The 16,781-nt window shown below is 44.4% G+C and overlaps 1 protein-coding gene, 1 long non-coding RNA gene and 1 pseudogene across 23 annotated transcripts in view, besides 5 other annotated features; 2 read left to right on the plus strand and 1 right to left on the minus strand.

Moving 5' to 3' along the window:
* Window positions 1–4,749, minus strand: part of EZH2 (enhancer of zeste 2 polycomb repressive complex 2 subunit) — a 76,909-nt gene extending 72,160 nt beyond the window's left edge. For 12 of the 22 annotated variants that reach the window (XM_047420002.1, XM_017011820.3, NM_001203248.2 and 9 more), the window contains exon 1: window positions 4,622–4,749. The gene's annotated coding sequence lies outside the window, so the exon portion shown is untranslated. Of the gene's footprint in view, window positions 1–3,654; window positions 3,944–4,393 lie in introns of those variants that run through there. The other 10 variants (NM_001203249.2, XM_005249962.5, XM_047419989.1 and 7 more) reach the window with 8 other exon arrangements.
* Window positions 3,913–4,502: a silencer, noted in NCBI's record as "silent region_18736". NCBI's record gives its function as "represses an Ori minimal core promoter by ATAC-STARR-seq in GM12878 lymphoblastoid cells {active_cell/tissue: GM12878}" and the evidence as "EXISTENCE:reporter gene assay evidence [ECO:0000049][PMID:35858748]".
* Window positions 3,913–4,694: a biological region, named in NCBI's record as "H3K27ac hESC enhancer GRCh37_chr7:148580637-148581328".
* Window positions 4,003–4,694: an enhancer, noted in NCBI's record as "H3K27ac hESC enhancer chr7:148580637-148581328 (GRCh37/hg19 assembly coordinates)". NCBI's record gives its function as "activates a minimal SCP1, AML or CMV promoter by ChIP-STARR-seq in primed H9 embryonic stem cells {active_cell/tissue: H9 hESC(primed)}" and the evidence as "EXISTENCE:reporter gene assay evidence [ECO:0000049][PMID:30033119]".
* Window positions 4,663–5,032: a silencer, noted in NCBI's record as "silent region_18737". NCBI's record gives its function as "represses an Ori minimal core promoter by ATAC-STARR-seq in GM12878 lymphoblastoid cells {active_cell/tissue: GM12878}" and the evidence as "EXISTENCE:reporter gene assay evidence [ECO:0000049][PMID:35858748]".
* Window positions 5,153–5,382: a silencer, noted in NCBI's record as "silent region_18738". NCBI's record gives its function as "represses an Ori minimal core promoter by ATAC-STARR-seq in GM12878 lymphoblastoid cells {active_cell/tissue: GM12878}" and the evidence as "EXISTENCE:reporter gene assay evidence [ECO:0000049][PMID:35858748]".
* Window positions 5,647–8,254, plus strand: LOC124901767 (uncharacterized). The gene is made up of 2 exons (XR_007060579.1): window positions 5,647–5,941; window positions 6,815–8,254. It is a non-coding gene; the product is annotated as an uncharacterized LOC124901767 (long non-coding RNA).
* Window positions 10,684–10,971, plus strand: RN7SL569P (RNA, 7SL, cytoplasmic 569, pseudogene; annotated as a pseudogene).

Genomic DNA, 16,781 nt, shown 5'->3' on the forward strand with positions numbered 1-16,781 from the left:
TAGCCAGGCCTGGTGGTGCATGCCTGTAATCCCAACTACTTGAGAGGTGAGGCAGGAGAATCATTTGAACCCAGGAGGTGGAGGTTGCAGTGAGCCAAGATGGTGCCACTGCACTCCAGTCTAGGTGACAGAGTGACACTGCATCTCAAAAAAATAAATAATAAATAATAAATAAATAAATTAGCCGAGCGTGGTGGCGCACGCTTGTAGTCCCAGCTACTCAGGAGGCTGAGGCACAAGAATCACTTTCGAGACTCCGTCTCAAAAAAAAAAAGTATCTGGGTCAAACACAATGGCTCAGCCTGTCATCCCTGTACTTTAAGAGGCCAAGGCAGGAGGATTGCCTGGAGCCAGGAGTTTGAGATCAACGTGGGCAACAAAGCAGGATCCCATCTCTACAAAAAATTAAAAAATTAAATAAGTCACCACAATGGTGTGCACTGGTAATACCAGTTACTCAGGAGGCTGAGACAGGAGGATCCCTTGAGCCCAGGAGTTTAAGGATGCAGTGAGCTATGATCTTGTTCTGTCTTGCTATTGTTAATGGAAAACAAGACCAATTATTAAGAAACTGCTAACCACATAATCTAAACACAAATTTGTCATATTTTTATACCAAGTAGTGGAACAGTGGCAAGATATGGAATGGTGCAACTATCTTAGAAATTTACCAGCTGTAACTTTTGAGGTATCACTAAATTTGCTAATCTGTATTTAAATCATTTTAAAAGAATGATGAAAAGCATCCCAATAAATGATCCAATTACACTGTCGCTACATCCTTCAGTTTTAGCTCCAAAACCTACCTCAATTTACTCCAATAAAGAACTCATGAATTATAACAAAACAGCTTTTCAGTTAAAAGATCTACTACCCTCTCTCGCCCTTTCCCTTCCTTATATTTTTGCAAAGAGATCATCAATATCAACATTAAATCAAATTAAGCAAATACTATTACTAAATATCCAGATGATTCATCAAGTTCTCTCCAGTTGTCCGAGTGTAATAGTTGCATCTAAAGGATATCTAATGTTTAGTACTACAGATTATAACTAGGAAAAACTTGGAACTTGTTCACCTTGACAACTATTTTTCTTTGTAATCATTCCCTATTAAAGAGGGAGAAAAACACATTTCAAAGTTCCTCACATGAATACTAACATATCCTGTTCACTTTGCAAGTTCCTTTGTCAAATTATTTCCCTACATTTTTCATATTTCCTTAATTCATTCAACTATATTTAAAACCCCTATTCTCTAGCAAATACCAACGTAGGTACTAGGTATACAAAGAAAAAAATAAGACAGAGCCTCTACCAGGAGGCACTTTGACTGTAGGGAAGAGAGGGATGCATAAACAAGTGATTACAATACAATTGAGTCATGCTACAATAAAATATGATAAAACCCTGTGGGAACACAAGAGTGGGAATTCAGGGAAGACCTCCAGAAGGTAAAGTATGTATCATCTGACCATGAACCTTTCTCTGAATTTAATGAATTGCTGCTGTTCACTTATGCTCTCCCCCGAAGATTTCACCTACTCATATAGAATCTATCATGATTTACAGAAAATTTGTCATCTATACTGATATAAAGACTTCAAGGCTAATCCATAAATCATTGCTAATTAACCACAGAATACATTATATTGGAGGATTTGTCCTTGTTGGTTTTTAAAAAGCAGATCAACTTTCTCAATCACTGCTCATGTAAAGGGTAATACTGAAATAAATTCAGAATCCTTGAGCACACTACCTCAAAAGAAGGAAGGTATCCTGGGAAAATTCCAGTATGACTTGGAGAAATTTGCCTAAAATTTTTAAATGGCCAACATAAAGATATTCACTTAAATGTATTTGTGCAAGGCAAAGCTAGGTATCAAAGTATCAGAACTTTTTCTAACTACACTAGATCAACAAGTGTGTTTTAAGTCACTGCTACTTAAACTGACTAAATACATTCTCAATTGTACCAGAAAATAATTTAATATGAATTTTTAAACCAATTCCCCAAAGAGATGTTTTTCAAAATATCTCATGGCAAGTACAAAGAATAGTAATTATCAAATACAGAGAACACTCAAGGGCAAAGTTAGAAATTTTTATCCTAGGCTGGGCGTGGTGGCTCACGTCTGGATCAGCATTTTGGGAGGCGGAGGCGGGTACATCACTTCAGGTCAGGAGTTCGAGACCAGCCTGGCCAACATGGTGAAACCCTGTCTCTGCTAAAAATACAAAAATTAGCCGGGTGTCGTGGTGCGTGCCTGTAGTTCCAGCTACTCGGGAGGCTGAGGCAGGGGAATTCCTTAAACCCGGGAGGCAGAGATTGTAGTGAGCCCAGATCCAGCCACTGCACTCCAGCCTGGACGACAGAGCAAGGCTCTGTCTCAAAAAAAAAAAAACATATACACACACACACACGCGCGCGCACACACACACACACACACACACACACATATGTATCCTAAAATATCCGAATTTCTGCCAAAAATCTGCATAACTACCTTATCTCATAATGGACAAGATTATTAATAGGATTTTTTAAATACAGAATTAATAGTAACTAATATAAACGTTACTTTTTTGTTATAATGTCTCAACACTTAGACCAGCACCTGGAATGCCCGTACAGTGGTGTCAACACTCTCCAAAATATATGTAATAAATTTATATTGCATTTATTTGTCTCCATTTTTATGAAACCTTAAGTTAGCAGATGCACATTAGATCTTTATCATATAGGACAGTGCAACCAGAAGAACGCCTATGTTTTTCTAACTTGTTTTCTTGGAATATATTCACTTTCCACAAAAACGAGAATTTAAGATGCAGTGTTCCTGTTTCCGGGAAACCTTAAATATTACATCACCCAACACACCTCCGAAAAGAGAGAACAAGACGCTTTATATCTATGACTAGAATCCTACCTATTCCTAACTTTAGAGACCATGAATAGAAAATTAAAATATATCTTAAATACTTGTTTTCCTGCAAATAAAATTACAAATAAACAAGTTAGGATTACACACTTGTACAGTATTCCTAAACATGAATTAGTTGCTAATGCTTATGAAGAGTAATAGAAAATAAACTCCAAAACCCCTAAAAGTATAAACTACATTCAATTGTGACAGCATTCGTGTTTTTCAAAGGTTTATTAAATGCTGTTTTATGATGACATCAAAACGCCACAAAATTAAACTAATAATAACTTGCTTGAACCCTAAAAAGCAAGCCTTTAAGTAAATAGCAAAGACACATTTTTATTTCCAAATGAATTTAAATGTTACAGATCCTGTGTGATAAAGGAAGTTTAACTGTGGACAGCACACGTTAAATTTCTTAGGCAACAAACATTTCTCCATGCAGTCTTTTCTGAATCACCAAAGCTATTGTTCACAGAAAACGAGACCAATTAATAAGAAACTGCTAACCGTATAATCTAAACACACATTTGTCATAGCCATTCTATTTTGATCACCTACTTCTACCACCTCATCCTCATTCAACCCGTCGGGATTTGGGGAATAATCTGGCTGAATGACAGTTGATTTCGTTAGCACCTGTCGCCATTCTCAGATGTATCACACAAGTTGGCCAAAACAGCTTGTAATGTTTAAGGATTACGATTCTTTAGAAAGTGGCAACTCACTAGGCGTTCACCAAGTTTTCCAAAAGATCGTGCTTCTCGATTCCTCCCGCTTTCAAAAAGTAACCCTGTGGCACAGATTTTTGGGGGGAACGGAAGGGGATGTACACAATGAAGTGGGAATTCAACAGGACGCCCTCCAGAAACACAATCAATAGAGAGCAGAGCAGCTCGACTCTTCCCTCAAACTTAGCATAAAGCCAGACCAGGCGGCGAGGGCAGCCCGCGACCGCCGGAGCTCAGGGGGATTTCGGGGTGCGTCGTGGGGAAACGTCAGAGGCGAAGCTACTCCGAGTTCCCCGCCGCGAACGTCGTCCCGCGAGCGCCGCGGCCCCAGCCCGGGGTCGGCGCGCCCGGGACCGGGGGCGTGCGCGAGGCGAGGGCCGAGCCCTGCCCACCCCGGCAGCGGCCCGCGCCTCCCCACGCCCCTCTCCCGCCCGCCGGCGGGCCCGGGTGTCATGCCCCTTCCCCTCGCGCCGAGCCCTCCGGAGACACAGTCCGTCCTTTGTCTGAGTGCGGACTCGGCGGCTGGGTCCCACCAACTTGTGTCTGTCCCGTCCCACCCGGGCGCTCCCGCCGCGGCCGCGCCACACAAAGGAGACTTGAGGCTCGAGCTGCCACCCTGGACCGGGCACCGGAACGCCCCGACCCCGGCCCCGGCGCCCCGGCCAGGACAAGCACCGGGAAAGGAGCCCCCCACACGCCCCCCGCCCCGCAGCTCCAGGGGTGTGCGCTGCCTCACTCGCAGGGTCCCGCGGGCCAGCCCGAAGCTCACAGCTCCTTCCGGGGAGGGGGGCTCTCCCCTCACCCTCCACCCCCCGCACGCCTACAAACGCGGCGCCCCGGTGAGCCCCGCTCGGCGATACCCGGGACCGGCACAGCAGTGGCGGGGAGGTCCTGGCGCCGCCGCCGCCGCCCGGTTCGCACTCCCGGAGCCCCGCCGGCCGGGCCGCCCGCAGCGGCGCGTTACCTTCGTCCCGCGCGCCGACTCGCGTTGTTCCCGCGCGTCGCCCCCGCGCGCCGCCGCCGCCGCCGCCGGGGCTCCACTGCCTTCTGAGTCCCACCGGGTGTCGGACGCGACCGGACCGAGCGCCAAACGCGGCAGCCCAATCGCCATCGCTTTTATTTGGCCCCCCCAGCCCAATCAAGCGCCGCCCCGATTGGCGGGACGCGAGGCGGGCGCCCGTCCAATCACAGGGCCCGCCGGGCTCGGAGGCGCCGAGCCAGCCCCACGCAGAGTGCGCTCAGGGCTCGTGGGCGGGCGGGCACTGGCAGCGCGTGCGCGCGCGGGCGGCGGCGGGGTTCGCTGTAAGGGACGCCACTGGCCGTGTGGAAGCGCCGCCGCCGTCTCTTTGTTCTTTCGCTGAACACACGGCGCCTCTCAGGAAGGCGGTGTGCAGGCACGCGGGGACCGGGAGACATCGCGGGGGCCCGGAGCCCGCCGCGGACGGGAGGCGGGGAGGATAGGTGGCGGGAACCGGCCGAAGGGCGGGACGAAGCGCCGGCGGCTCTTGGCGGGAACCGGCGCCGCAGAGTTCCCGGGCGGGGGAGGGGCGGGGCGGGTGCTGGAAGCCAAGTTTGAACCAGTTCAAAACTCGGGGGTGGTAACGGTTTTAACCGCCGCGCTCGTTTCCCCGCGCGCGGAGCCGAGGCCCGGGCTGGCCGCTCCTAGTGGTGCCCGGGGAGGGGAGGGCGCGGGCCCCGGAGGTCGGCTCAGCTGTGGCGCCGCGTTTGCCGGGAGACGCTCGCCCGGCCCGCGCGCTGCCGCCGGACCCGTTACTACTTTTTTTTTTTTCTCCTGAGACGGAGTTTCGCTCTGGTTGTCCAGGCTGGAGTGCAATGGCGCGATCTCGACTCACCGCAACCTCCGCCTTCCGGGTTCAAGCGATTCTCATGCCTCAGCCTCCCGAGTAGCTGGATTACAGGCATGCGCCACCACGCCCGGCTAATTTTCTATTTTTAGTAGAGACGGGTCTTGGTCAGGCTGGTCTCGAACTCCCGACTTCTGGTGATCCGCCCGCCTCGGCCTCCCAAAGTGCTGGGATTACAGGCGTGAGCCACCGCCGCCGACCCGGGCCCTGTTTGATTATGTCTGCTGCTGCCTTGGCCGTTTTTTCCCCCACCGCTGGACTTTGGCTGGCCGAGCTTGCAGTGCTTATCGCCCTAGAAACCTGTGAAAGGGCGACATTGCTGCCATTTCAGACCCTTCCACTGTTCGTAGTTCTAAGCACGTGTCAGTGTTAAAAATCCTTTATCAAGATGAGCACTGTTCACTTGCCGCCTCTGCAAAGTGTGAGGATATTTGCAAGGCGCGGTGGCTCACGCCTGTAATCCCAGCACTTTGGGAGGCCGAGGCGGGCGGATCATAAGGTCAGGAGATCGAGACCATCCTGGCTAATAACGGTGAAACCCCGTCTCTACTAAAAATACAAAAAATTAGCCGGGCGTGGTGGCGGGCGCCTGTAGTCCCAGCTACTCGGGAGGCTGAGGCAGGAGAATGGCGTGAACCCGGGAGGCGGAGCTTGCAGTGAGCCGAGATCACGCCACTGCACTCCAGCCTGGGCGACAGAGCGAGACTCCATCTCAAAAAAAAAAAAAAAATTGATCTTGGTTATGGGGGGTCAAGCTACCTCAACCCAGAGGAATTAGAGGGATTCTGCTTAGGATACAGTCTCTCCTATTGCTTCATGTGGCAATGCAGTTAAGAGTATTCCGAATTTATTTTTACTAGGATGTATCTATGGGGTAAAATACCATTGTCATGTAAACTGAGATTCCATATTGAGAGTTCATACTGGAAACTGAAAAAAGGTCACCTATGAACTGTTGGGGTAAAAATCTGAAGAAATATTTTTAATGAATTTAATAACTAGCCAGAATTTTTTTTTTTTTTTTTTTTTTAAGAAACGGAGTCTCACACTGTCGCCCAGGCTGGAGTGCAGTGGCACCATCTCAGCTCACTGCAAGCCCCGCCTCCCGGGTTCACACCATTCTCCTGCCTCAGCCTCCCGAGTAGCTGGGGACCACAGGTGCCTGCCACCACACCCGACTAATTTTTTGTGTTTTTAGTAGAGACGGGGTTTCACCGTGTTAGCCAGGATGGTCTCGATCTCCTGACTTTGTGATCCGCCCGTCTCGGCCTCCCAAAGTGCTGGGATTACAGGCGTGAGCCACTGCGCTGGGCCAGAATTTTTCATCAGATGATTTAGCCCATAATTTTCCCGCCTTTCCTAAATCACCATCCCATTCCTCACATATATTCTGAATCACTCCAATGTTGGAAAGTATATATAAAGGGAAGCTAAAAGATAAGGAGAAACAAGCAATCATGTGCCCAGATAAAAGCAAAATTGTCTTGTGAATCAGTGATAACACTGCAAAAAGTAAATAGGTTATGCAGCTGAGATGTGACTGTAAAATAACGTAACGAATTATAGCTGCCATTACTTCCAGTCACGAATACATTCATTCTCCAAGATAAAATGCATCTGTCTAGGCCACCAATTTACAATTTTTTAAAACCAGCAATTTAAACCTCAGAAATTAACTACTTATCCCTAAGTTGCTTATCAAATTACTGAACTTATCAGTCCTGTAATACTAAATATTAAAACAAGGCATTTTTAAGAGGAAGATCAACGAAATTAGAGACTACCATAAAGCAAATCAAAGCAGTATATAACTCTGCAACATGGTGTGAAATGTCATGTAAATTGCTAGACGTTTAGAATCAAGGAATGGATGGATCAAGATATTCCAGGCCAGACTTAGTGGTTCACACCTGTAACCCCAGTACTTTCAGAAGTCGAGGTGGGAAGCTCCGAGACCAGCCTGGGCAACATAGCAAGACCCTATCTCTACAAGAAATTTAAAAAATAACTGAGTGTGGTGGCACAGAAGTACCTATGGTCCCACCTGCCCCTGAGGCTGAGGTGAGGGGTCTGCTTGAGCTCAGGATCCCAAGGTTACCGTGAGCTATGATCACATCACTGTGCTCCAGCCTGAGCAACAGAGTGAGACCCTATCTCTTTAAAAAAAAAAAAAAGTGATTGGACAAAATATAATTATTGGCACCAAGTGAATGTTAGGAAAAAAAAAAAACACGTACAAAGAACTTTATAGAGCAGCCATTCCCACTGGGAAGAGTGTGTAGGTTGGACTCTAACCATTAAAGAGCTAGGTGGGATGATACTAAATATATATAACAGACATTTAATATAAATATGATATGAAGGCTAAGGTGAAAAGGGATGCCAGTGGATCACAGTATTTTCTTGATTCAATGATGACATTGTCCATTTAAGCAAGGTAGTTTAGGCCACAGTAATGGCAGAAAAAGGGGATAATTTGAAAATATTCCAGAAGGACTTCATTGTATGTGGGGTTCATGATGTCTCGCGACTCCTTTCCGTATATGACAAATACAGCAAAGTTAGGAGGGGGAAGAAGTATTTTGCTTTTGCTACCAAAAGAAAAACTGTCTGAAGATGTCTAACCCAGGAAAGCAAGAAAATATACAGGCCTATTTAACAGACCTCTATGACTATTTCAATGGGAAAAAAAATTTTTAATGTGTGTAATGAATAGTAAACATATAAGCAAGTGTGTGTGTGAATGCCAGTTACTCAAGGGGCCTAGATGAAGCAGAAAGCCAGGCTAAACACAAAGGTGGATATGGAGGTTGAGGGTCACCAAGCTTTTTCATTTCTGTAAAGATTGTTCTGTGTGAACAACAAAGATTTGGTATTAAAGTTAAAAGATGAAACGAAAAACAGTTAAGCCCCAAAGTTGTAACCCCAGGGCCTAGCGTGCCCGGCACATAGCTGATTCTCAGGGTTGTCCTGGGGGAACTGGAGAAGATGGAGTGCAAAGTTAAGGCTGTCAGCCAGCAAACTTCCCTTTCCATCCCTTCACTTCTCAGAACCTCCCTTTCAACCCCAAAAATGGGATTTACTTCCCACATATTATACAGCACTCATTTATGGAGTGCTTACTCTGTGAATGATGATTATACCGAACATGAGGTGGTGATAAAAATAAGGCATGGGAAGAGGGGAGTATTGGGTGCAATTGCTGTAATTTTAAAACAGCTTGGGGCTGGATGTGGTGGTTCACGCCTGTAATCCCAGCACTTTGGGGACCGAGATGGGAGGATTACTTGAGTTCACAAGTTCTAGATCAGCCTGAGCAACATAGCGAAACCTCATCTCTTCCAAAAATACCAAACTTAGCCGGTCATGGTGCCTATAGTCCCAGCTACTCTGGAGGCTGAGGTGGGAGGATCGCTTGAGGCTGGGAGGCGGAGGTTGCAGTGAGATGGGACCACAGCACTCCAGCCTGGGAATAAAATAATTTTTTAAAAGCCACTTGGTTAAGGAAGCCCTCATTTTGAAGGTGACATATGAAGAAAAACTTGAAGGAGCTGAGGGAGCATTTACTGAGAGAAGACTGTTCTAGGCAGAGAGAAGGGCCAGTCAGTGCCTGGGCCTGAGGCAGAAGCGTGGCTGATGTGCTCTGGCACAGGAAGGGGAAGAAAAGTGGGAAATGATGTTGAAGAATGGAGGCGGCACAAGCAGATTTTTCAGCTCCTTGTGGACCATAGTTAGGTCTTTATCTTTTATAAAATGAGAGGATTTTGAGTGGAAAGGCGATTTGATCATTTAAACAAGATCATTCTAGCTCCTGTGTTGAAAGGATCCTGAAGCGGAGCCGGGGCCAAATCAGAGAGGACAGTGATGAGTCCGTTGTAATAAGCCAGGCAAGAAATGATTGTGGCTCAGACCAAAGTGGTAGCAGTGAGCTGGTGGGAAGTGGAGTCTGGATATATTTTGAAGGTATAAGCAACAGAATTTCCTGACAGATTGGATATAGGATACAAGAAAGATTGCATGTAAGAAGTATCAGTTCTCAATACAAGAAGCCTGAGAAGGGATGAGCTCTCATGAAGAGCCAGAGTGGCATTATACTGCAGCCTGGAACACACCCCAGGCTGGGGTCAGGAGATGTGTGGCATGTCGAGAAACCTTCATAAAGATAACATAATTTTTGGTTGTGATTGAAATTAACCTGATCCTTTTCGGAACCAGCTTGAAAGAGTCACCTCTAGAAAACCCAAGGAAGGTGTGGTAGCCAGCCTCTAAAATGCTCCTTTTTGGCTTTGTTTTTATTTTTATTTTTTTGTTTTTTTGAGAGAGAGTCTCGCTCTGTTGGCCAGGCTGGAGTACGGTGGCACAATCTTGGCTCACTGCACCCTCCATCTCCTGGGCTCAAGCGGTTCTGCCTCAGCCTCCCGAGTAGCGGGGATTACAGGTGCGCGCCACCATGCTTGGCTAATTTTTGTACTTTTAGTAGAGATGGGGTTTCACCATGTTGGCCAGGCTGGTCTCGAACTCCTGACCTCAGGTGATCTGCCCGCCTCGGCCTCCCAAAGTGCTGGGATTACAGGCGTGAACCAACATACCTGGCCAATGCTCCCGTATTATTAATACCACCTCCTGGTATTCACTGCCTTGTGTAATCTTCTCCCTTGTTGTGGGCTAGACCTATTGACTTGCTTCTAATAGGATATGGCCACAAAAAGAATGGGATGTTATCCCCAAAATCACATAATGAGGAGATCGTGACCTCCCAGCTCCTGTATCCCTTCCTCTGGCTGTAACAAGCTGCTATTTCAGCTTTATCTCATAGCTCCACCACCCTAAGTTCCAGCCATATTGTATTACTCACTTTCCCAAACAGAGTTTCAGCTAAACTGATCAAGATGTTACCATTTTAAGACGTTTAAGAAAGAAATTTGATCAAACAAAATAAGTAGACTAAAATAGATAAAAGCCTTTAGACTATCTAGAAATTCCCTGGCTGTTTTAAACAAATTCAAGTGTGAAACTGAGGAGTACTTGGCCAAAATATGGTTACAAACAACCCCTGGGCAGAGTATCATTTTCCAGATGGGACACCTGTCTTGTAAAAGACTGTTGAGGATTTGGGGAAGCAAAGAACTTACCACTATTCTGGGCTGTAACAAAGGAGAAGCTCAATAAAGACTAAAAAATACTGTACAAAGAGAGGACATAGAGGATCACTTGAGCCCAGGAGTGCTGGGCTGTAGTGGGCTGTGTTGATCAGGTGTCTGCACCAAGTTGAGCATCAGTATGGTGAACTTCCAGGAACTAGAGACCACGAGGTTGCCTAAGGAGGGGTGAATCGACCCAGGTTGGAAATGGACCAGGTTAAAACTCCTGTGCTGATCACTGCTAGTGGGATTATGCCTGTGAATAGCCACTACCCTCCAGTTTGGGCAACAACATGACCCCATCTTTTTTTTTTTTTTAAAGTCCAGGCGTGGTGGCTCACACCTGTAATCCCAGCACTTTGGGAGGCTGAGGTGGGCTGATTGCCTGAGCTCAGGAATTCGAGACCAGCCTGGGCAACATGGTGAGACACCATCTCTACTAAAAACACAAAAATTAGCCAGGTGTGATGGCGCATGCCTATGGTCCTAGTTACTCGAGAGGCTGAGGTACGAGAATTGCTTGAACCTGGGCAGCAGAGGTTGCAATGAGCTGGGATCACGCCAGTGAACTCTAGCCTGGGCAAGAGAACAAGACTGCCTCAAAAAAAAAAAATGGTTTTAGGAAAGGATAAGACATGGAAACAAAACCGCACAATTGTATAAGTAATCATCAAGTATTAGAATTAATGAGTGAAGTTAACAAGGTCACTGGATACAAACTTAGTTTACAAAAAAGTCCATTTCTGTGTATAACAATAAAGAGGAAATTAAACTTTTAAAGTGATATATACCATTTACCTTTGGGAAAATATCAAATATCTAGTCATCTGATGAAAGATGTGTAAGACCTATGCACAAAGCATTACAAAACAATATTGAGGAAAACTTTTTTAAAGCCCTAAATAGAGGGAATGTCATTTTTATGATTTGGAAGATGCACAGATTCAACATGATGCCAATTAAAATCCCAGCAGGATTTGTGAGTGCGTTTGCATCTGTGTTGTGTGTAGAAATTGACAAGTTGATTCTAAAATACATGCAAAATGCAAAAGGCCGAAAAGAGCCAAGAGAATTAAAGAAGAATGAAACTGGGCAACTTTACTACCAAATATCAAAACCTGGCTGTTTATTTTACTTTTTATTTTTTTTGAAATGGAGTTTCACTCTTGTTGGACAGGCTGGAGTGCAATGGCATGGTCCTGGCTCACTGCAGCCTCCGCCTCCTGGATTCAAGCGTTTCTCCTGCCTCAGCCTCCCAAATAGCTGGGATTACAGGTGCCTGCCACCATGCCTGGCTAATTTTTGTATTTTTAGTAGAGATGGGGTTTCACCATGTTGGCCAGGCTGGTCTCGAACTCCTGACCTCAGGTGATCTGCCCGCCTCAGCCTCTCAAAGTGCTGGGATTATAGGCGTGAGCCACCATGCCCGGCCAAAACCTAGCTTTTTAAAGCTGTTGTAATTAAGACAGTGATACTGCCCCAAAGGTCAACAAATAGACCAATGGGAAACAAAGAGTCCAGAAACAGACTCATACCTATATGGTTTATAACAAAGGTGGCTTTTCAGTGCAGTTGGGAAAGGATCATCTTTTCAATAATTGGTTTTGGGTCAACTGGCTATCCTTACGGGGTGGGGAGGGGAAATCTTGACCCCTGCCTCAAACCAGATGAGTTGCTGGTCTAAATGTAAAAGAAAACAGAATGATTTTGGAATAGTCAAAAAGTTCTTAAACAGAATCAAAAATGTGCTCACCATAAACGGCCGGGTGCAGTGGCTCACGCCTACAGTCTTAGCACTTTGGGAGGCCAAGGCGGGTGGATTGCCTGCAGTCGTGAGTTCAAGACCAGCCTGTCCAACATGGTGAAACCTCGTCTCTACTAAAAATACAAAAATTAGCTGGGCGTGGTGGTGGGCACCTGTAATCCCAGCTACTCGGGAGGCTGAAGTACGAGAATCTCTTGAACCCGGGAGGCAGAGGTTGCAGTGAGCCAAGATCGTGCCATGCACTCCAGCATGGGCAACAGGACAAGACTCTGTCTCAAAAAAAAAAAAAAAAAGTGCTCACCATAAAGGAAATAAGTGGTATATTGATCAATTGATCGTATATTGATCAATTGTTCATATATTGATCTATATTAAATTTAAGACTTCTGTTTGTCAAAAGACACCATTAGGATATTCAAACGGCAGGCCAAAGAATAGGGGAAATTCACAATACACTTCCCTAACAAAACACTTGTCATACAGATCATATAAACCACAAGACGATTTGAAAAAGAAAATGTTAGGAAATGGCCAAAAGGGAGATACCCTTAATAAACTGGCACCTAAAAAAGTGGATATACAGATGTCCAATAAGCATATAAAAAGGTGCCCAGTTTCATTAGTTATCAGAGACATGCAAATAAAACCATAATGGAATACCACTATATACCTACCCAATGGCTAAAATGAAAAAATACAGAAGATACCAAGTGTAGGTAAGGATATGAAGCAGTGAAAATTTTTATGCACTGCTAATAGAAGTGCAAGTTGGTACAGCCACTTTGGAAATTTGAGAAGAGATAATACCTGTGAAACTTGAACAAATATGGAATACTCCATACCGTAGCCATTCTTCTAGGTGTAGCTCTAGCAAGTATATGTTTGTATGCATATACACTTAACAAACGACATGTACAAAAAAGTTCATAATGCAAACTGGAAACTATCCAAATGCCCATCAAAGGTAGAATGAATAAATTGTGGTTAATTTACATAATGGAATATCCTACAATGATGCAGAGAATCTATAGCTACATACAACAATGTGAATGAATCTGATAAATATAGTGTTAAGTGAAAGAAGACAGAGAATATTTATCTTATGATCTTGTTTATCTAAGTTTCTTAACAGTCCAGGCATGGTAGCTTGCACCTGTAATCCCAGCACTTTGGGAGGCTGAGGTGGGTAGGTCACCTGAGCTTAGGAGTTCGAGACCAGCATGGGCAATATGGTGAAACCCCATCTGTACAAAAAATATAAAAATTAGCAGGGCATGCTGGGTTGTGCCTGTAATACCAGCTGCGTGGGAGGCTGAGGTGGGAGGATCACTTGAGCCCAGGAGGTTGAGGCTGCAGTGAGCCATGATCAAACTTAACAAAAAAAAAAAAAATTGGAGGTATCTACAAAAGTAAATACTACAAGCATGTTTGATCACTGCACCTAAAAAGATGAAGAGAGAGAGAGTGAGGTAGGGGTTAGGGAGGGAAAAGAAAAGAGATTCCGTTAAATGAAGACAAGGGATTGATCTTTAGGCTGAAAATGCAAAGGTCAAGAAGTGAATCAAGTGTTCAAACTATCTGAAAATATATACTACCAGGATAAAATGAACACAGTTTCTTTTTCACTGATTTCCAGCGTGTTTCAATGAAAAAGCACTTCTTGCATTCTCTGCAATGTCTACTGATAACAGTTGAGAATTACTTGACTTGGTAACTAGCTTAAAGAACTCATTACCCCCCCCCCCAAAAAAAACAGTATAATTAGACAAACGTAAAACAGTTCAAAATGTTTGCAAAAATATTGGAAAATCTGGGCTGTACACGACCCTTCATTTATTCATTCAAAAGACATTTACTTAGTGCTTATTTTGTTTTATGCCCTGTAGTCCCAGCTACAGGAATAAAGATGGGGGGTTGGAGGTCATGGAGACGTAGAGGATTCCTCAAGAAAGCAAGCAAGAGGAAAGCAAGGAAGGGATGTGGGATTTGGAGCAGAGGAGTAGTTAGCTATGCCAAGGTAAGAAGTTGGCCAGGTCAGCGATGGGACAACCTAGACCTGCTCCCAAGGCCAGAGTGAGCTGGGTGGCCTTCGGCAGCCCACTTCCATGGTTGGCGGGGCAGTTAACTCCTTTACCCCTAGAGTCATCATTACCTAGGACCTCAAGGCAGCATGTGTGACCTGGAACCTGAAACCAGGACAGAAATCAGATTTCTGACAGAGGCATTCCTGATGGGAATGGGGTTACTGGATAGAGTGAGTGAGCTTGGAAATCTAACTCTCTGGATAAAAGATCTTTCTGTCAACAAGATCCTGAACTTGATCTTATCCACTGTTCCCAATCCAGGGTGATGCCCTCCTCAAACTCTTGCATGTCCTTGGTGAGTTTGAGCTGCAAAGTTCTCTTGTCACCTTTTGTCCTAGACACGTGGGCCGGCAGGCAGAGTACCGTCGCACACACTCGCTGCTGATATCTGGCCTGTTGGCCCAGGTCACCCACTGGAAAGACAAGGCAACTCTAGTTTTGTACAAGTTCTATGACAGTCTATTAACATGTTGCCTTGCAATTCTTGGTGTACTAATAACTGCTGGCTAAAGACATTCCTGACATTAAAAGAACATGCTCTGATTCAGTATTTTACATGTGAGAAACATCTCCAATTACAGAAAATCATTCCTAAGTTGAGGAGAAAATATTTTCCCACTGATGAAATTTATCAAATTGGTATAGAATCTTCTGGGAAGAAAAACAGCAGTGATAAAACTTCAGCTGGGAGCCATATGTTTTTAAAAGCAGCCATTTTAAACTAAGGGCAATATATCAAGTGATAGAGCTGGTTCACTTTGCAGTGTTGTCACACATAATCTGACCTGTGAAATTTTTGGAAAAAAAAAAATGACTGAACTTAGAATATTGCACAGGAAATTGACCTTGTAAACTCACTTGTGAATACTTTCATACGAAGATCATCCTAGGATAATCTTAAAAGAATTATCAGTTGCTCAATATTTTACACTTACGACCGAAAAAGAAAATAGTGTGTAATAGTTAATGAACTGGCCGAAACTTCTCAGTAAAAAGGCATTCTTTTTGCCTGTAGTTTTCTTATATGGCGCACCTTATATTATTTTACAAACCAGTGTTCTTTTAAAGTAGGCTGGATCCTAGCAGGAAATAGATTATTAATTTTTTTCTAAAGTATTAAATCATTTCTACTTTCAGATTGTAATCATTATATGTGTTTTCATAACATATTAAAAGATCTACTCAAATGTCTATCCTGGATAAATGTTTTTTGTGTCCTGAAAGCCCAAGTTAGCATTACTTTGCAGTATAAACAAACCAGTTCTCCAGTTCTAGTTCAATGGCTAAATGCACAAGGACTTATTTGGTATCTTTCTCTTTCTCTCTTTCTCTTTTTTTTTTATAACCACTAATTTTTTTCTATAACACCTATGTTTGAATGTTAACATTCTTGTTTTTCATTAACTGTCCTTTTTTTCAGATTATAAAAGAAACAAAAATTGCTTACAGCCCATCTCCCAAATAGAACCACTTTTACCATTTTGGTGTCTTTGCTTTCAGATTTGAAAAGCAACATTTCCATGAGATTTTTTTTTTTTTTTTTTTTTTTTTGAGATAGAGTCTCACTCTGTCACCCAGGCCGGAGTACAGTGGTGCCATCTCTGCTCACTGCAACCTCCACCTTGTGGATTGAAGCGATTCTCCTGCCTCAGCTTCCTGAGTAGCTAGGATTACAAGCACGCACCACCATGCCCGGCTAATTTTTGTGTTTTCTAGTAGAGACAGGGTTTCACCATGTTGGCCAGGCTGGTTTCGAAGTCCTGACCTCAGGTGATCCGCCTGCCTCAGCCTCTCAAAGTGCCGGGATTACAGGCGTGAGCCCCTGCACCCAGCCTCCGTGTGATTTTAAAACATGTTTTCTCATTATAAAAGGAAGACATGCGCATTCAAGAAATCTGACAAACACACCTGATAAATCAAGATACGATGTCAGCAAAATGCTAGGATCTGAGGAAACAGAACTCATCCATGTGGAGGGTGTAAAGTGACACGGTGTTTAGGAATCCAGCTAGGCAGTGTTTGCTGTTACTGAATTTGTGCGCACTCTCTGAGCTAGAGACTCCATTGCTAGATAACCTTTCCAACAAAACGTATCCTACATGCACATAAGAATAAGGATAGTCACGGAAACGTTGTTTATAATAGAAAAAGCAGGAAAGGGCTTTGTGTCCATCATTCGGGATATAATTGATCTCTATAATTCAGGATGTATATAAATTATGGTACAGCTATATTAGAAATGTGTGCTTATATATTTAATAAATACTAA

The sequence above is a fragment of the Homo sapiens genome, chromosome 7 (assembly GCF_000001405.40).
Source record: "Homo sapiens chromosome 7, GRCh38.p14 Primary Assembly".
Lineage (NCBI taxonomy): Eukaryota > Metazoa > Chordata > Mammalia > Primates > Hominidae > Homo > Homo sapiens.